Source organism: Homo sapiens, chromosome 5 (genome assembly GCF_000001405.40).
Source record: "Homo sapiens chromosome 5, GRCh38.p14 Primary Assembly".
NCBI classification, from domain to species: domain Eukaryota; kingdom Metazoa; phylum Chordata; class Mammalia; order Primates; family Hominidae; genus Homo; species Homo sapiens.
Window position 1 is genome coordinate 129,538,075 of NC_000005.10, and position 17,232 is coordinate 129,555,306.

The 17,232-nt window shown below is 33.1% G+C and overlaps 1 protein-coding gene across 11 annotated transcripts in view; it reads left to right on the forward strand.

Annotated features, from left to right (window-relative positions):
* The window catches only part of ADAMTS19 (ADAM metallopeptidase with thrombospondin type 1 motif 19), a 278,386-nt gene that overhangs the window by 77,777 nt on the left and 183,377 nt on the right, over positions 1-17,232 (forward strand). For all 11 annotated transcript variants that reach the window (XR_007058587.1, XM_047416876.1, XM_047416878.1 and 8 more), the window contains one exon: positions 13,790-13,833. Coding sequence is in view for 10 of the 11 variants with exons in the window: in XM_047416876.1 (XP_047272832.1) it covers positions 13,790-13,833 (44 nt within the window). In the remaining variant the exon portion in view is untranslated. The remainder of the gene's footprint in view (positions 1-13,789; positions 13,834-17,232) is intronic.

The window sequence follows — 17,232 nt, forward strand, 5'->3', positions numbered from 1 at the left end:
TTCCTTCTTAACAGTAATAGATTTGAGAAATATTGCTTCTGAGACTAAAGAAGACGATAATCATAATTTGATTACTGATTTATAATTTTCTCTTATTACAAATGCAATATATATTACAGAAAACTGATAAGTACAAGAATAAAGATAAAAATTAGCTTATAGTCCCACTACACAGGAAAAAGTATAGTTAACATTTTAAAGTATATTTCATCAGTGGTATTTCTTATGTATGCATATAATTAAATACATGGAGTTACATTATTGGGATCATAGTCTACATACAAGTTTTGTTTCTCACCAACAAAATATATTGTGGCATTAATTTTATTCCTTATTTCCAATGCCATTTTTTCTTTCAAAACTCTAAAAAAAGCTTTAGAATTTTCTGCATCCAATTTTTTTAGTGTTAAAAACCTTAAAACTAGCATGTTGAACTGACCACTCTTCATTATTGCCTCCCTTGTTGCTAGCTTTCCCTAGCTATGCAACACAAGAATTCTATTAAAAGGAAAAGAAGAAAGCATAGTGTGATATATTTCATATATACAAAGAGCATAAAGAATAACATAATTAACAACTACCTGTTTACCCCTCCACTTAGGAAACAGAATGTTATCTATGTTGTTGAAGTCATCTTACATACTGTTTTATAATCCATATTTTCCCTTAAAAGTCTGTTTCAAACAATTGCTTATTTTTGTATACTTTTCTTGGAAATGTAGCCTAATATGGTTTTATTTTCCAAGTAATGCATATTCTCATGGCAAAAGTTTAAGTATAACTTTTAAATATATTGTCATATTATAAGCATATTCTTATGGTAAAAGTAAAAGAAACACCTTAGTGTTTACATAGTAAATTAACTTTTACCAACTTCTACTCTGCTCTCCAACCCTAAGGTAATCAATGTTAAGAGTTGGTGTGTATGTAAAGAACATTGTTTCATGCTATACACAGTTTTCTCTGTTTGTTTGCTTTTTCACTTTACGATTATGTCTGGCAAGTATTTTTATGTTATTTATTGTGGGAGGCAGAATAATGTCCCTCCTCCCCAAATATTCACGTTCTAATCTCCAGAACCAGTGAATATGCCATCTTACATGGCAAGGGGACTTTGCAAATGTGATTAAGGATCTTGAGATGGGCAGATTATCCTGGCATATTTGAGTGGTTCAGTGTAATCACAAGAGTCCTAAAATAAGGAAGAGGGAGGCAGAAGTTCAAAGTCAGAGAAGGACTGGAAGATGCTATAAACCCAGTTTTGCAGACAGAAAAACAGGTCAAAAGCCAAAGAATGCCAGCAATGTCTAGAAGCTGGAAAAGGCCAGGACATAGATTATACCCTAGTGCCTCTAGAAGGAATGCAGCTATATGGCACTTTTATTTTGTCCCATTAAGACCTGCACTTGACTTCTGACAAGATAACAAATTTGTGTTGTTTTAAGCCACTAAGTTCATGGTAATCTGTTATAGCAGCAATCGGAAACTGATGCATTCCTATATCGGTCTGCATCATTTGTGAGGGGGAGCTGACATACTATATATTGCATAAAAGTATCCTAATTTATTCAACTACTTATCTGTTTATAGAACTTTCTAATTTTTTGCTGTTAGAGAAAATGTTCTATAAATATGTTTATATATGGTTGTAAACATGTGCTGTAATAGTATTTATTTAGGGTAGATTAAAAAGTACTTGCTCTGTCAAAGGGTACACATATATAAAATACTGACGAATACTGGCAAACTGTTCTCCCTTTACTCACTTGTGGGACAAGGCTTCTGTGGAGGATCACCCTTTCTCCATATTTGTTTCCAGTGCCATAATAGTGAAAAATCACCCCACTAAAGAGAATATTTTATTCCTAAGTGACCTAGTACCATTTGGTTAATAAAGATTAAATGAGTGCTTCATGTAGTTAAGGAAAAAATATCCCTTTCTAGTTAGGGTAAAGATGATCAGCTATTTAGCTTTGTAAGAAAGCTGTGAAAAATAGAATAACATTGGAAAAAATGTTAATCTCCCTGGATTGCATGTTCTTATCCATATTTGGCAGAGTAAACTCAGAACCAGGCTCAGTTTCTAGTAAATGCTCATCGTAGATAACTAGTAAATGTTGGGGGTTATGTGCATACATTAATAGGAAGAAATTTTAGCTCAGGGGTCAAGTTTGGTCTCACATAAAATGCATAATGCTTCTACAAATCCAAACCTATCTGAGGTCATATATTTGTCAAATTGTCCTGTGCAGTACAATAAAGTAAATAGTTTAAAGCTGACCTAGTTATGCTTCTGGGTTCATAGTAACAAAAACACAAAACATGTTCTCTTAACTCTCAACTCTATGATTTCTTAGTGCAATTTTCACATTTCTTATTGAAATCATGGAGAAGGCATATATCTTTATGCCCTTTGAAAATACTCTTTAAAATTCAATTTTATTAATGATAGCTTTGCCTTTCCTATTTGCAGAAATGCTTTTGGTTTACGTATAATACATGTGAAAGTTAGTTTCAAACTAATGCCATTGGCAAGTAAGAGAAAATTTAATAAAACATATGAATTGCAAAAGTAACTTGATTTAATACAAATTACAGAATAATTTTTGAATGAATCACTTATAGGTATATCCCCAGGCACTATTAAACTCTACAGTGAGACTTATTCTCAGATGCATCTTCATTCTTGGAAATTAAAGGCTACATTTCATTTTTTTCAACATAAATCAGAACTTAGGCAAAATTTATTGGCCTTCCCAGTTGCCAAAGTCTAACAGTGTCATTTCTATAAATTCACATAATGAAACTCTGTGATGCAGACTTCGGGTGCACAGTCTACATGAGCCAAAAATGAGAGAATTTGAATCCACATGATCAAAGGTCTAGTCAGCAAATAATCTCTATCCCCATCCCATAAAATAAATATTTGAATATTTTGAATTAGGAATACATTACTTTGGTCTTCTGCAAAGAAGTTGATTATTGGAGAACTGAAGATTAAGAATTATCATCTGATCTTTGGTTTATAATGCTGCTGACAATTTATTTTTCAATTTTAGTGAGAGGTACTTCTAGTGTTTCTGGATGAAATAACTAGATTTTTTTTTTTTTTTGTAATGTGCTTTTTTCATTTGTTTGCTAAGTGAACAGAAATTGGCTACGTGGTGGACTGTAAATGCCCTTGACGATAAGCAGTGCATTTGTCATAGTTTTATCGTGTTGTTTAGTTACAGATGAAGTCCCATGTTTCACATTATGTAAATCAAATAGTCATGTTGCAGGTTCATGCATCATGATATGATGTATTATATATTTAGAAAAATCACCCCAAATCCCTTTCCCCCTACATCTGAATATACTTTATACTTAGTGATTCTTGACCCTAAGGTGAAGATTTGATTTTATGTGGTTCTTTAATTTTTTGCATTGCCATTTTATTCAGTATCATCTGTTTTGGGTGTTTCCTTCTCCATTTGTTTGCTGGCAAAGGCAATTGAATAATAGAATTATTCATTATTTAATATAACTCCCCAGACTTCTTTCTCACTGCTCCTGAGACCCTTACCACGTTACAGAGGTGATATGTTTTACCCACTTCTGTGCCTTTCAAGTAGAAGCCTATTTTATTTATCTCTGTTGTGTCCTTCCCCTTATTTAGTACATGGCATATTAGAGACGCTTAATGTATCCCACAATATTCAGTTGTATAGGCAGTACACTACACAACAGTAGAGGGAGCCATTTATGTTGTGTATTATAAATGTGTCCATAGAATTATGCAGTATACAACTTCTACCACCAGGCGTGATGTTCTCATAAATATTTGATTTCTATAGTTTCCTATGTAGATAAATGATATTTTGTCATTTATTTATAATAATAATGCTAGAAAACCTTTCCATTCATCTTCATCTATAGTTATATTGAGACTCTGAATATGTTTTGCTGCCAGCAGAAATTATTTTCCTTTATCATTAGGATATTGTTTGTTTTGAGCCACAGAGACCAACTTTGCCTAAGTTGAGCAACAGAAGAAATAGTTGGCTTATTTTGATTCGATATTCTCAGAATCAAAGGAAGAACTGAAGAATCAGGCGTCAGGAAAGATAGCAAAGAGGAAAGCTCTAGGCATCTCATCTACTGAGTTTGGATGATTCAGAGCCATTCATATTTTACTATATTATCTCTTTTCCATCCTCTGAAAACATGGGTTTCAATGTGGGGGGATAATCCTATGATTGGAAGCTGATGACTAGAATACACTGAAATACACTGACCAGAAAATATGATGCAATAGAAGGTGATTTCCCAGTGGAAAGATGCTAGGGACTAGAGTTGGGGAAGGATAGGATTTACCTCAGGACTATGAAGGAACCATTTGGCTTCACAAAAACCTTCCATTATAACCCTGGGAATAAATGTTCTGATTGAGAGCAGCCTTGTCTTGCCCAGACTTACAAGGTTTCCTGTTTTGTATCTTGTATATTGAAGGGGATGGTGACTGCTTGGAAAAAGTAGTTGCATGCTGCTTACCATGGGAAAAGTTTAGGGTAGGACAGCTATAGTGATTGTGTTTTATGAGATAAAATTTGGATGTATCTTCCCTCATTTATCTAGAGTTTTCCCTCTAATTTTGGTACATATTTTCAGAAAGATATATATATTTACAGTAAAAGTTATAAATATTAAAACTCCCAATACTGACAATCAAATTATTTACTTCATCAAAATTTATTTGCTTTCTTTCCTATTGACTTTTTAATAATTTACCAAAAAATGCATCTACTTTTCAACATCCATTCTGTTGGGTCAGTAGACTTTTAAGGAGTATGGAAGCAACCTGATAGGATTATATCATCTATATACAAAAGAAGTGAAGATTAGTGTACCAAGTGCTAACAGCCATCTTTAAATTATCAAGAATGGATTAACTAGTTTTTGTTGTTGTTTTTTTTTGTTGTTGTTGTTGTTTTGTTTTTTTTTTTTTAATTTAAGAAGGAGTTTTGCTCTTGTTGCCCAGGCTGGAGTGCAATGGCATGATCTTGGCTCACCACAACCTCCGCCTCCCAGGTTCAAGTGATTCTCCTGCCTTAGCCTCTTCAGTAGCTGGGATTACAGGGATGTGCCACCACACCTGGCTAATTTTTTGTATTTTTTTTAGTAGAGACGGTTTCTCCATGTTGGTCAGGCTGGTCTCGAACTCCCGACCTCAGGTGATTCACACGCCTCGGCCTCCCAAAGTGCTGGAATTACAGGCGTGAGCCACTGCACCCAGCCTGGATTAACTAGTTTTTGGATTTACTAGAATACAAAAATAATAGCATATTTGAGAAAAACACTAAAATTTGTACAAACTGATAAAAACATGTTATACTGTTTCTGTTGTCTGGAAATATACAGTAATCAGTAGACAGCACAGTGTAACATTACATTATGTCTACTGTGTTTTAGGGAAAACCTGCTCCCTTGCCAGTATAATGAGGTGAGCTTTACAGTGGGCAGCAGGCCTTCTTTAGAGCAAAGTTTCCTCTGGATGCATTATAAAGGCAAACAGAGGTAGGGGAAACATGGCCACTAAAACAAACTAAAGCCAAGTATTTGAGGGTGGAGTTAATTAAGTAAGGAAAGAGAGAAGGGATAACATGCAAGCGGGCCTGAGTCTTTGCCTTGCTTAAGTCCTAATGAAATACTGGAGAAGTGTTCTCAGCTAAGAGAACCACAGGAATAATACATCTTCCACTGATACTTCATGAAGCAATTCATGTGATAACCTATCATACTTGGATTATTTTTGTTATTTATAACTAGAGAATGGTAAATGTATTCCTAAATTTTGGGTGTGATTTAAATGAATTAAGTTTACATTAAGTTCATTTTGTGCCTTGTATTGAAAAGATATTATTTAAGGTTATGTTTTATCTTCTCTCTTTTAGCTCTACCTTTTCCACATTACTCTCGTAATTGAGTCTATATTTGTTTTGCATAGTCATCTCTTTCAGAATTTGCCAGGAGAAACAGAGAACAATTTTAATAATTAATGTTGATATTAAAATACTTCATCCCTATCTTATACTCATGGCTAGCAACAAATATTTTTTTCTATCTCCAACCATTTGGAAGAAAAATAACAATATTGTAGTAATCACTTATTTTTTACAATAATTTATAAGTAAAATAATCCCCACTTGTTGAAAGACATTTTTGAAAAACTATTAAATATCAACTGAACATCTTATTGAGACAGCTCTGCAGTCTTTTAAAGCATTTGGTGAAAGTAGCTGCATGATATAAAATGTAATAATAAAAAAGGCCTATGGCTTGTTTCTATATATATTTAGACCTAATGCTAACAATAAACTAATGTATCATTTTACTGCACTTCATTCCTATATGGTAGGTCACAGATTAAGTCCAGTTCTTTTAATTATGTGAGAATCTGGCTGTCTAGATAATCAGAAAATGTTCCCATTATGAACATCTATAAACCATAGCAAAAAATACAATAAGCGCACTTTCACTTGCACAGATGAGCCAAAAACAAAGCAAGTTCTGGCAACAAGTTTAGTAAGCAACTAAGGTAATGTGGTAGCTTCCCTGAGGGAGTTTTTTGAACTAAAAAAATCTAGGTTTTTATGTTTTAATGAGTCTGTGCAAAGTGGGGAAGTGGAACTGAAATGATTACACACAACTAGAATTTGCAGATACTTAGATCCTTAATAAAAGTATGAACTGGTAAAAGTTCTGCCAGCAAGCACAGGTTGTGAACAAAGAAACATTCTGCCTCATCCATCACCCCAGGTTAGGACAAAAATGCTTCCTCTGGGTATTCATTACCATGAATCTGATTTCAAAATTGAAGCACTTAGTGAAAGCATATGCAAAACTGCTCTGAAGGGACTCTCTTTCAACTTACACCATGAGGCAACCACACTTAACATCCCACTGACTGAGTTCATAATATAATTCCAAAATGACCAATGATAACATATTCCATTGTAAGAACCCAGAGGCATATTAAAGAAAAATAATTTTTAAAAAGTACTAACAGGGATTATAAAACAAGCATGTCCACCTAATTAAAAAAAATAAAAAATTTCAAAATATGAGAATAAGATGTTTTGGGGGAAAACAGTTGATTTGAAAACTGATGAAAATAAATGTTCTCAGGAAGAAATATGGAATATGGTATGTATACTTAAAATTTCAATTTCTAAATTGAAGAGCAGATTAGATCCATCTGAAGAGAGCATTAGTGGATTGGATGATAGATCTGAGGGATTCTCCCAGCAGGCTACATAGAGTGGTTAAGAGATGCAAATACACAAAGGTGCCTGAGCACTACAGACATCAGAATGAGAAGAATTATCATATTCCTAAAGAAGTTCTAGGAGAAGAGAATGGAATGTCGGAGGGATTAACTAAATAGATAATGGTAAGAATTTTTAAGGGTTCATGGATCTTTAAGTTGAAAATATACCAAGTACCAAAGAAGATAAATAAAAACATGAACAGACACTTCTCAAAAGAAGACATTTATGCAGCCAAAAAACACATGAAAAAATGCTCATCATCACTGGCCATCAGAGAAATGCAAATCAAAACCACAATGAGATACCATCTCACACCAGTTAGAATGGCAATCATTAAAAAGTCAGGCAACAACAGGTGCTGGAGAGGATGTGGAGAAATAAGAACACTTTTACACTGTTGGTGGGACTGTAAACTAGTTCAACCATTGTGGAAGTCAGTGTGGCGATTCCTCAGGGATCTAGAACTAGAAATACCATCTGACCCAGCCATCCCATTACTGGGTATATACCCAAAGGACTATAAATCATGCTGCTATAAAGACACATGCACACGTATGTTTATTGCGGCACTATTCACAATAGCAAAGACTTGGAACCAACCCAAATGTCCAACAATGATAGACTGGATTAAGAGAATGTGGCACATATACACCATGGAATACTATGCAGCCATAAAAAAGGATGAGTTCATGTCCTTTGTAGGGACATGGATGAAATTGGAAATCATCATTCTCAGTAAACTATCGCAAGAACAAAAAACCAAACACCGCATATTCTCACTCACAGGTGGGAATTGAACAATGAGATCACATGGACACAGGAAGGGGAATATCACACTCTGGGGACTGTGGTGGGGTGGGGGCAGGCGGGAGGGATAGCATTGGGAGATATACCTAATGCTAGATGACGAGTTTGTGGGTGCAGCGCACCAGCATGGCACATGTATACATATGTAACTAACCTGCACAATGTGCACATGTACCCTAAAACTTAAAGTATAATAAAAAAAATTAAAAAAAAGAGAAGATAAATAAAAACAAAATCAGTACCTTGACCCATCTTCGTGGGACTGTAGAATTATAAAGACGGAAAGAGTGTTAAAAAAGTAAGCAGAAAGCAAATGCATGAAAAAAAGGCAAAAACTGTAATCAGAGACTTCTAATCAATATTTATGAATGCTGGAATAAAATGAAATGGTATCTTCAGTGTGTTGAGAGTCAATAAAGTTGACTTTATAACAACTCAGTTACTATTCAGTTATGAATACATGCAAAATAATAAAAATGAAAGCAAAAGAAAAAACAAGCAAAGTTTACCATTCATAGATAGATCCTCATTGGAAGAGATGCTGAAGAATGTACTTAAAGAAAAAGAATAGTGAGATGTCTAGAAAGTAAATTATAACTGAGAAAATAAATTGCTAAATAAATAGGCAAATTGCTACATAAGCCCTGATGGTTTTTAAAAGAAACCGTCTAATTTTAGATTTGAAAAATCAAGATGGAACCATAATTTCAGATTAAAAACACATGAAAAATTGAAGGGAGAGATTGGATTAAAAGAATGTTATATTCTTGCCTTTTTCAGGAGGAAGAGCTTTAGACATTCTAAGGATATGTGGTAGGCAGGAAAAGTAACATCCCCTGCAAAGATGTTTATGCTCTAATTTCCAGAACCTGAAAATATGTTATCCCATATGGAAGAAATGACTGTGCAGATGTGATTGTATTAAGGATCTTGAGGGGGCGAGATTATCCTGGTGTGAGGAAAAGAGAGAGAGTGGAAAGTCAGAGAGGGTCATATGAGGATGGAAGCAGGGGGCAGAGTGATGCAATCATTGACCTTGAAAATAGAAGGAGGCCCTCAGTCAAGAAACCTGGGTAGCCTCTGGAAGCTAGTGAAGGCAAGGAAACATATTCTCATCTAGAGCTTTCAGAGGGAACATGATACTGCTGACACATTGATTTTAGTGCAGTAAAGCCCATTTCAAAATTCGGGCCTTCAGACTGTAAGTTAAAGTTTTGTGTTGTTTTAAGTCACCATATTTATGGAATTTTTACAGCAGCAATAGAGAACAAATATATCATACTTTAGAAAGTAAAAGGAATCATACATCAACCACAATTTAATGTTACTTTCAAAGTAGCCAAAAAAAGTGAGTGAAAAATAAAAGGAAGAAAGAGAAAAAGAAGAACAAAGAAATATAACTTGGCATTGAATCTATAAATAGATTCAATGCCATCCCCATCAAGCTACCAATGACTTTCTTCACAGAATTGGAAAAAACTACTTTAAAGTTCATATGGAACCAAAAAAGAGCCCGCATTGCCAAGCCAATCCTAAGCCAAAAGAACAAAGCTGGAGGCATCACACTACCTGACTTCAAACTACACTACAAGGCTACAGAAACCAAAACAGCATGGTACTGCTACCAAAACAGACATACAGATCAATGGAACAGAACAGAGCCCTCAGAAATAATGCCACATATCTACAACTATCTGATCTTTGACAAACCTGACAAAAACAAGCAATGGGGAAAGGATTTCCTATTTAATAAATGGTGCTGGGAAAACTGGCTAGCCATATGTAGAAAGCTGAAACTGGATCCCTTCCTTACACCTTATACAAAAATTAATTCAAGATGGATTAAAGACTTAAACGTTAGAACTAAAACCATAAAAAACCTAGAAGAAAACCTAGGCAATACCATTCAGGACATAGGCATGGGCAAAGACTTCATGTCTAAAACACCAAAAGCAATGGCAACAAAAGCCAAAATTGACAAATGGGATCTAATTAAACTAAAGAGCTTCTGCACAGCAAAAGAAACTACCATCAGAGTGAACAGGCAACCTACAAAATGGGAGAAAATTTTCACAACCTACTCATCTGACAAAGGGCTAATATCCAGAATCTACAATGAATTCAAACAAATTTACAAAAAAAAAAACAAACAACCCCATCAAAAAGTGGGTGAAGGATATGAACAGACACTTCTCAAAAGAAGACATTTATGCAGCCAAAAAACACATGAAAAATGCTCATCATCACTGGCCATCAGACAAATGCAAATCAAAACCACAATGAGATACCATCTGACACCAGTTAGAATGGCAATCATTAAAAAGTCAGGAAACAACAGGTGCTGGAGAGGATGTGGAGAAATAGGAACACTTTTACACTGTTGTTGGGACTGTAAACTAGTTCAAACATTGTGGAAGTCAGTGTGGCGATTCCTCAGGGATCTAGAACTAGAAATACCATTTGACCCAGCCATCCCATTACTGGGTATATACCCAAAAGATTATAAATCATGCTGCTATAAAGACACATGCACACGTATGTTCATTGCAGCACTATTTACAATAGCAAAGACTTGGAACCAACCCAAATGTCCAACAACGATAGACTGGATTAAGAAAATGTGGCACATATACACCATAGAATACTATGCAGCCATAAAAAATGTTGAGTTCATGTCCTTTATAGGGACATGGATGAAACTGGAAACCATCATTCTCAGCAAACTATCGCAAGGACAAAAAACCAAACAGCACATGTTCTCACTCATAGATGGGAATTGAACAATGAGAACACATGGACACAGGAAGGGGAGCATCACACTCCGAGTACTGTTGTGGGGTGGGGGGAGGGGGGAGGGATAGCATTAGGAGATATACCTAATGCTAAATGACGAGTTAATGGGTGCAGCACAGCAACATGGCACATGTATACATATGTAACAAACCTGCACATTGTGCACATGTACCCTAAAACTTAAAGTATAATAATAATAAAATAAATAAATAAATAAATAAAATAAAAAAAGAAATATAACTTGGTAAATAGAAATCATAAATAATAGAAATCCAAACATATCAATAATAGAAAAGGATTAAATGCATTTAAAAGATATTATATAACTAGCTTTTAAAAATTTCACTATGTGTTCTTTATAAGAGACTCAGAGAAAATGGATGTTGAAAACAAAATGAAAGAGATAGGACAAGCAAATATTAGTGCAGTACTGTATATTAATATTTGTTAGTATCAGACACAATCCACCTTAGCAAAGTAAACATATAGATTTTACACAATAATAAAAATAATAGTTCAAAATAAACAAACTTAGAGACCGAGTACTTAATAAACAATAAACTTTGAGATAAACAAATCAAAAATTAGAATCACAGGGAAACATCAAAAAATTATAAGCACAATGGAATTTTAACAGTCTTTTGTCAGTACAATGTAAAAATCAATCCAGTATTGATTATTCTACTTAACAATTGTATATCAGAGCTTTTAAGAGCTAAATGTAATGAGCATATATGGAACTGCACTCCAAAAAATTAAATATACATTTCTAATATGCAAGGAACATTTACCAACACACACACACATACATATATCTATATATACATATACATGTATCCGTATATGTATATATGTATCTATATATACATATACATGTATCCGTATATGTATATATGTATCTATATATACATATACATGTATCCGTATATGTATATATGTATCTATATATACATATACATGTATCTGTATATGTATGTATCTAGATATACATATACATGTATCTGTATATGTATCTAGATATACATATACATGTATATGTATATCTAGATATACATATACATGTATCTGTATATGTATGTATCTAGATATACATATACATGTATCTGTATATGTATGTATCTAGATATACATATACATGTATCTGTATATGTATGTATCTAGATATACATATACATGTATCTGTATATGTATGTATCTAGATATACATATACATGTATCTGTATATGTATGTATCTAGATATACATATACATGTATCTGTATATGTATGTATCTAGATATACATATACATGTATCTGTATATGTATGTATCTAGATATACATATACATGTATCTGTATATGTATGTATCTAGATATACATATACATGTATCTGTATATGTATGTATCTAGATATACATATACATGTATCTGTATATGTATGTATCTAGATATACATATACATGTATCTGTATATGTATGTATCTAGATATACATATACATGTATCTGTATATGTATGTATCTAGATATACATATACATGTATCTATACATATCTGTATATATATACATATACAGATACATCTATACATATATCTATATATACATATGTATACATATATAGATATATGTATGTATTAACTCACAAATGCTGCTGATGAGCCAAGCAAGATGTGAATTGAAAGCTAACCATTATAAAGATCAATGTGACTTCATTGGTGAATAGGCAAAAGTATTGTGCTTAATTTTAAGTCTTTTTTTTATCATTTAGATACAGCTTTCAGATCCTGTAACAGAGAGGAAATTTTTTTAAAAGGATAATTTTACATTTCTCATTTATGTACACACAAAAAGCCTATTGTAATATTGTTTGTGATAGTAAAAATTGTATAGAACCTAAAAGCTTATTGCTAAGAAGTTGCTTATGTTATGATACACTAATAGCAGCAATAAAAAAAATCCCCAACCAAAACATCACAACTAACTTTTTAGAGCTTACTTTGTGTGTGGCGCTGTTTTCAATACCTTATATGTGTTAATTCATGTCCCTTGCACAGTAACCTAAGTTTTTAAGGTTTTATACATGTTAAATCATTTAAATTGAACAATAAACCTAGGTGGTAGATATTATTACTACCTCTATCTTTATGATGAGGTGACAGAGGAACAAGGTTAAATAATTTGCCTAAGATCACATAGCTAGTAAGAGGTAGATTAAAAGTTTTGCTTTCATATATTCTGCCCCCAAATCTCATAGCTCTTATTAAGGTCTATTAAATTTTGCTCTATGAAATCCTGAATAATTGATAACAACAGTGAAGCATTCTTAGGAATGCTAAGATATAATTTCAGATAAAGAGTAAAAATTATAAAATATTATACATAGATCCCATTTATGTAAAATAATAATTTCCTTATACCATTAATAAAATGATTATCAGTCTTTTAAAAATTTTGCCAGTCTTATGATAGAAAATATTATGTTGTTTTAAGTTGTATTTCTTACATTTAAATCTTTGATCTGGAAATAATTTTTGTGTTACATAAAGTAGGTATCTTCCAGTAATTTTTCAAATGGAAAGCCTTGTCCCAATACCAGATTTTTTTGTAATAAAACAATAGAATACTGTAAAATTCAAAACAAGATGGGATCTTACTTTTGAAATATTGTCCATCATATGGGAACTGTCTAATGTCTGAGGATTAATTATATCATGTGCTATAAAATTTAATTAATCTTCCATATCTTAGAATTAAAAATTAATCTTATTCACAGTTTTATTAGATTCTTGGAGATGACAGATGTGCTTCAATTAATCATATAACTATTAAAAATGAGTCACTTGATGTCTTGTTTGTACAAAATAATTTATCTTTATTTCAGTTTTCTATTTTTCTTTCTAGGAAAGATTTCTGTGTGCACAAAGATGAACCATGTGATACTGTTGGTAAGTGTGAAAATTCTCACACTTTTGGAGTTCTGGAGAACTTGAACATATCACTTGTTTAAGTATAGGAAATTATTTGTGTTCTGGTTATAAAGGAATAACTTCAAAATGTCAGACATACATATTTTCTACCTATATGTTTAATCATTTGTCAGCACTTCAGTGTAAAAGACATGTATCAACTATATATATTGGAGACAATCTTTAAGTGATGCTTTAAGGCTATAATTAGTCCTTTTTTGTTATTTTCTCAGAGATACACACATGGGTTCAATAAAATTTTATTATTATTAATAACCAAAGACAAAATATATTAATGACATTATGTTTGACTAATTTGCAGGATAACAGATTATTTTTTGAGTTATGTATGCTTAAAGACCTTCGCAGACTGTGTCGAAATAAACTGCTAGATTCAGTATGATTCTTCTTACATGAAGTGGCAAATTTTTCACCATTTGTATTAGATATCTAAAGTGCCTAAAACAGAACCAGATAGCCAACAGAATTCATGAAACCACTGTTCTTCTAATTTTGAGAAAATGGTCACATATATGTTCATGTTTTAAAATGTATCTATATAAATATAAATGTATCTATCCAAAGATACCCCAGTCTTTATATATAAATATATATATTTAATTTTAAGTTACATAGCTGTGTGTAACAATATATTATTGGTAAGGTTCATTTAAGAATTGTAATCTAATTTTGGCATATCATGTAGGGTTCATTTCTACAGGATGAGCAGTATTTTAACTTGACCATTTTGTTGTGTCATTTGTTTTTTTATAAAGTGAATAATAAATAAAAGGGTGTAGAAACAGAACATAGGGATATTAGTATTTTAAAAGATAATTCTAACTAGTTCCATTAACCTAATTTTTCATCAACCTCCTCATATGTTTAAAATCTTAGATAATGTAAGGATTTTTGACATGTATTATTCATAAAACTTATGATGGAAAGTAGTTATAATAATGTAAAGTGGATGATGATGGAATCAAGGGAATATTTGGTTCAGAAGGAATTGTCGGCATGAAAAGAGCTGGGCACCTAAGGAAAAGCGGAATTGATGTAGGGACCATCTTCCTACTGTTGACTCTCTTGCCTGCTTCCCCCAGTTTTCTTCTTTTCCTGTCTGAATCTCCAGAATTTAAAACTTTATATCTGGTTTTTGTTACCCTAACCATGGAAGCTTTTGATTACCAGTAAAGCTTGTCTCAAAATAATAACCTTTTCTTTCATGTAAGCAGCAATGTTGCCCCCAAAAGCCTTGTTTGATAGGGACAGCTCAACATCTTGCCTTGCTTGAGCACATGTGAGAAATCAGCAACTCAGGCGCCATCTTCCATAGCTATACACACGAACTGACTCTTTATAGCCTGTAAGCAGCTACTAATAAGAAGAACCAATTTCTGTTTTGATGACAACAGAACTTCACATCTTGCTAAATCTGCTAATTCAAAATTGTGTGTATATTTGTGATATAGTATATGTAAATCTTATTTTCTAATTTAAAACACATTTGAATAATTGAGTACCTCAGTGTGTTCTGATAATCAGAGTATGTAAGATTTGGCAGGAAAGCAATTTATTGAATCTTTGGCTCTGTTTGTCCTGTTCATTAAGATCTTCAAATAAATCAGTTTTAAATATTACAGCATAGGGTGTGAAAAGTCCAGTGCCCTTCCTGAATTCTCTCTGTTTTGCTGATTCCTTAGGTTGTCATCAGCACCTCTGACATCACTAAAGCCTAGTTCTCCCTTCCGTATCTTATGGCAGATTTTTTTCCTTTAGCCCAAATATAGATGGGATCTTTCCCTATGCAGTCTTGACAGAGTAAAAATCTGAAATATTTCTTCAAGAGAGGTAAAATGAAAACTTATAACAACCAAGTCAAATTAATCTGTTTCACCCAAACCCCACAAAAACCTTCTTGTCACACTACCTATGCCTATGTCTGGAGTCATATACAGTCAGCCTTCTGTATTATGGACTCCATCTCCATGGATTCAACCACTTGTGGTTCAAAAATATTTTGTCTAAATAAAAATAAGAAGTAAAAATGCAGCGATAACAAAAAATGCAAATTAAAAGTAATATAGTATAACCACTATTTACATAGCACTTATCTTGTAAGTGCTAGGTATTATATTAGGTATTAAAGGTAATCTAGAGATGATTCGAAGTATAGGAGAGGATGTGCATAGGTTATAATCAAATACCACTCCATCATATAAAAAGGAATTGAGCATCTATGGATTTTGGAACCAATCCCCCATGGATACAAAGGGATAACTGTATATTTATAAGATTTATAAAGATATTTGTGAGACATATACATTGTGGTTGCCACCTCATCATCCATGCATCTACCACTGTGTAGCTGCAATGCTATGTTAGGAAAGGGTAACCCTATGGGGTTGGGTTATGATTAGTCTAGGCCTCTCATGGGGATTGTTTCAGGACCCTAGGCCTAAGCCAGTCAGCACATGCCATTGCCCTAGTTGAGACATATGATCTATTCCCTATATTTGCCTCAACAAGCTGAAAAAGGTAGAATTTTTGATGGTTAGAGCTTGATCATATATGCCTCCACTGGATATAAAGAAGGAAGAATGCAACCCTGATCACTATAATCAGGAAGGAAACCATCCTTAGGATGAATCTGACATCATATACTGCAGAATGAAGAGATGGAAGGTTTCTTTCTCCTGGATGATATTGTTGAATCCTCCAACCCTGGAGCCCAGTCTAATGTTTGGGTTTCTGAATATGTGAGTCAGTATATCCTTATTACTAAGCCAGTTTAAGACTTTTACGTTACTTGTAGCCTAAGGCATAAAAATATTCCCTGATGTTCATATTTTCATTTACAGGGCAAGAAAAATATGGCGCAATATTAATAACCTCTCTATTGTTATTAAGAGAAAATGCTGGTAAACTGCTCTGTGACTTGTTAAAAAATTAAATGAGCATATATATAGCTTATCAATCATCTTAACAGCTATCACTCTCTAGTAAAACAAAGCCAAAGTGATTTAGGGTTAATATCAATAAAATGTTTATTCGTACACATTTTAAAATCTCCTCATGTAATCCAAAGGGATATATTTTTTGACAGATGCTTTTAAGTCATTGTTTACTTCTTTTCTCTTTTATCTATAACCGATGTGAAGTCAGCCATTTTACTTTTTTTTTCTGTAATGAAAATATGGAAAGAGGAAAGAGAAAGGGAAGAAGTGGATTTAGTATTTATTAGTTTGGATCATATAGGGTTGAATGATAACTTTAAGATGCTTCTCCCTATTCTCCTAGGTATAGTAAGAGGAAAGAACAGCACTTACAGGATTTGAATTTATATTATTAATGTGAGTTATAAATGGAGAGGAATGC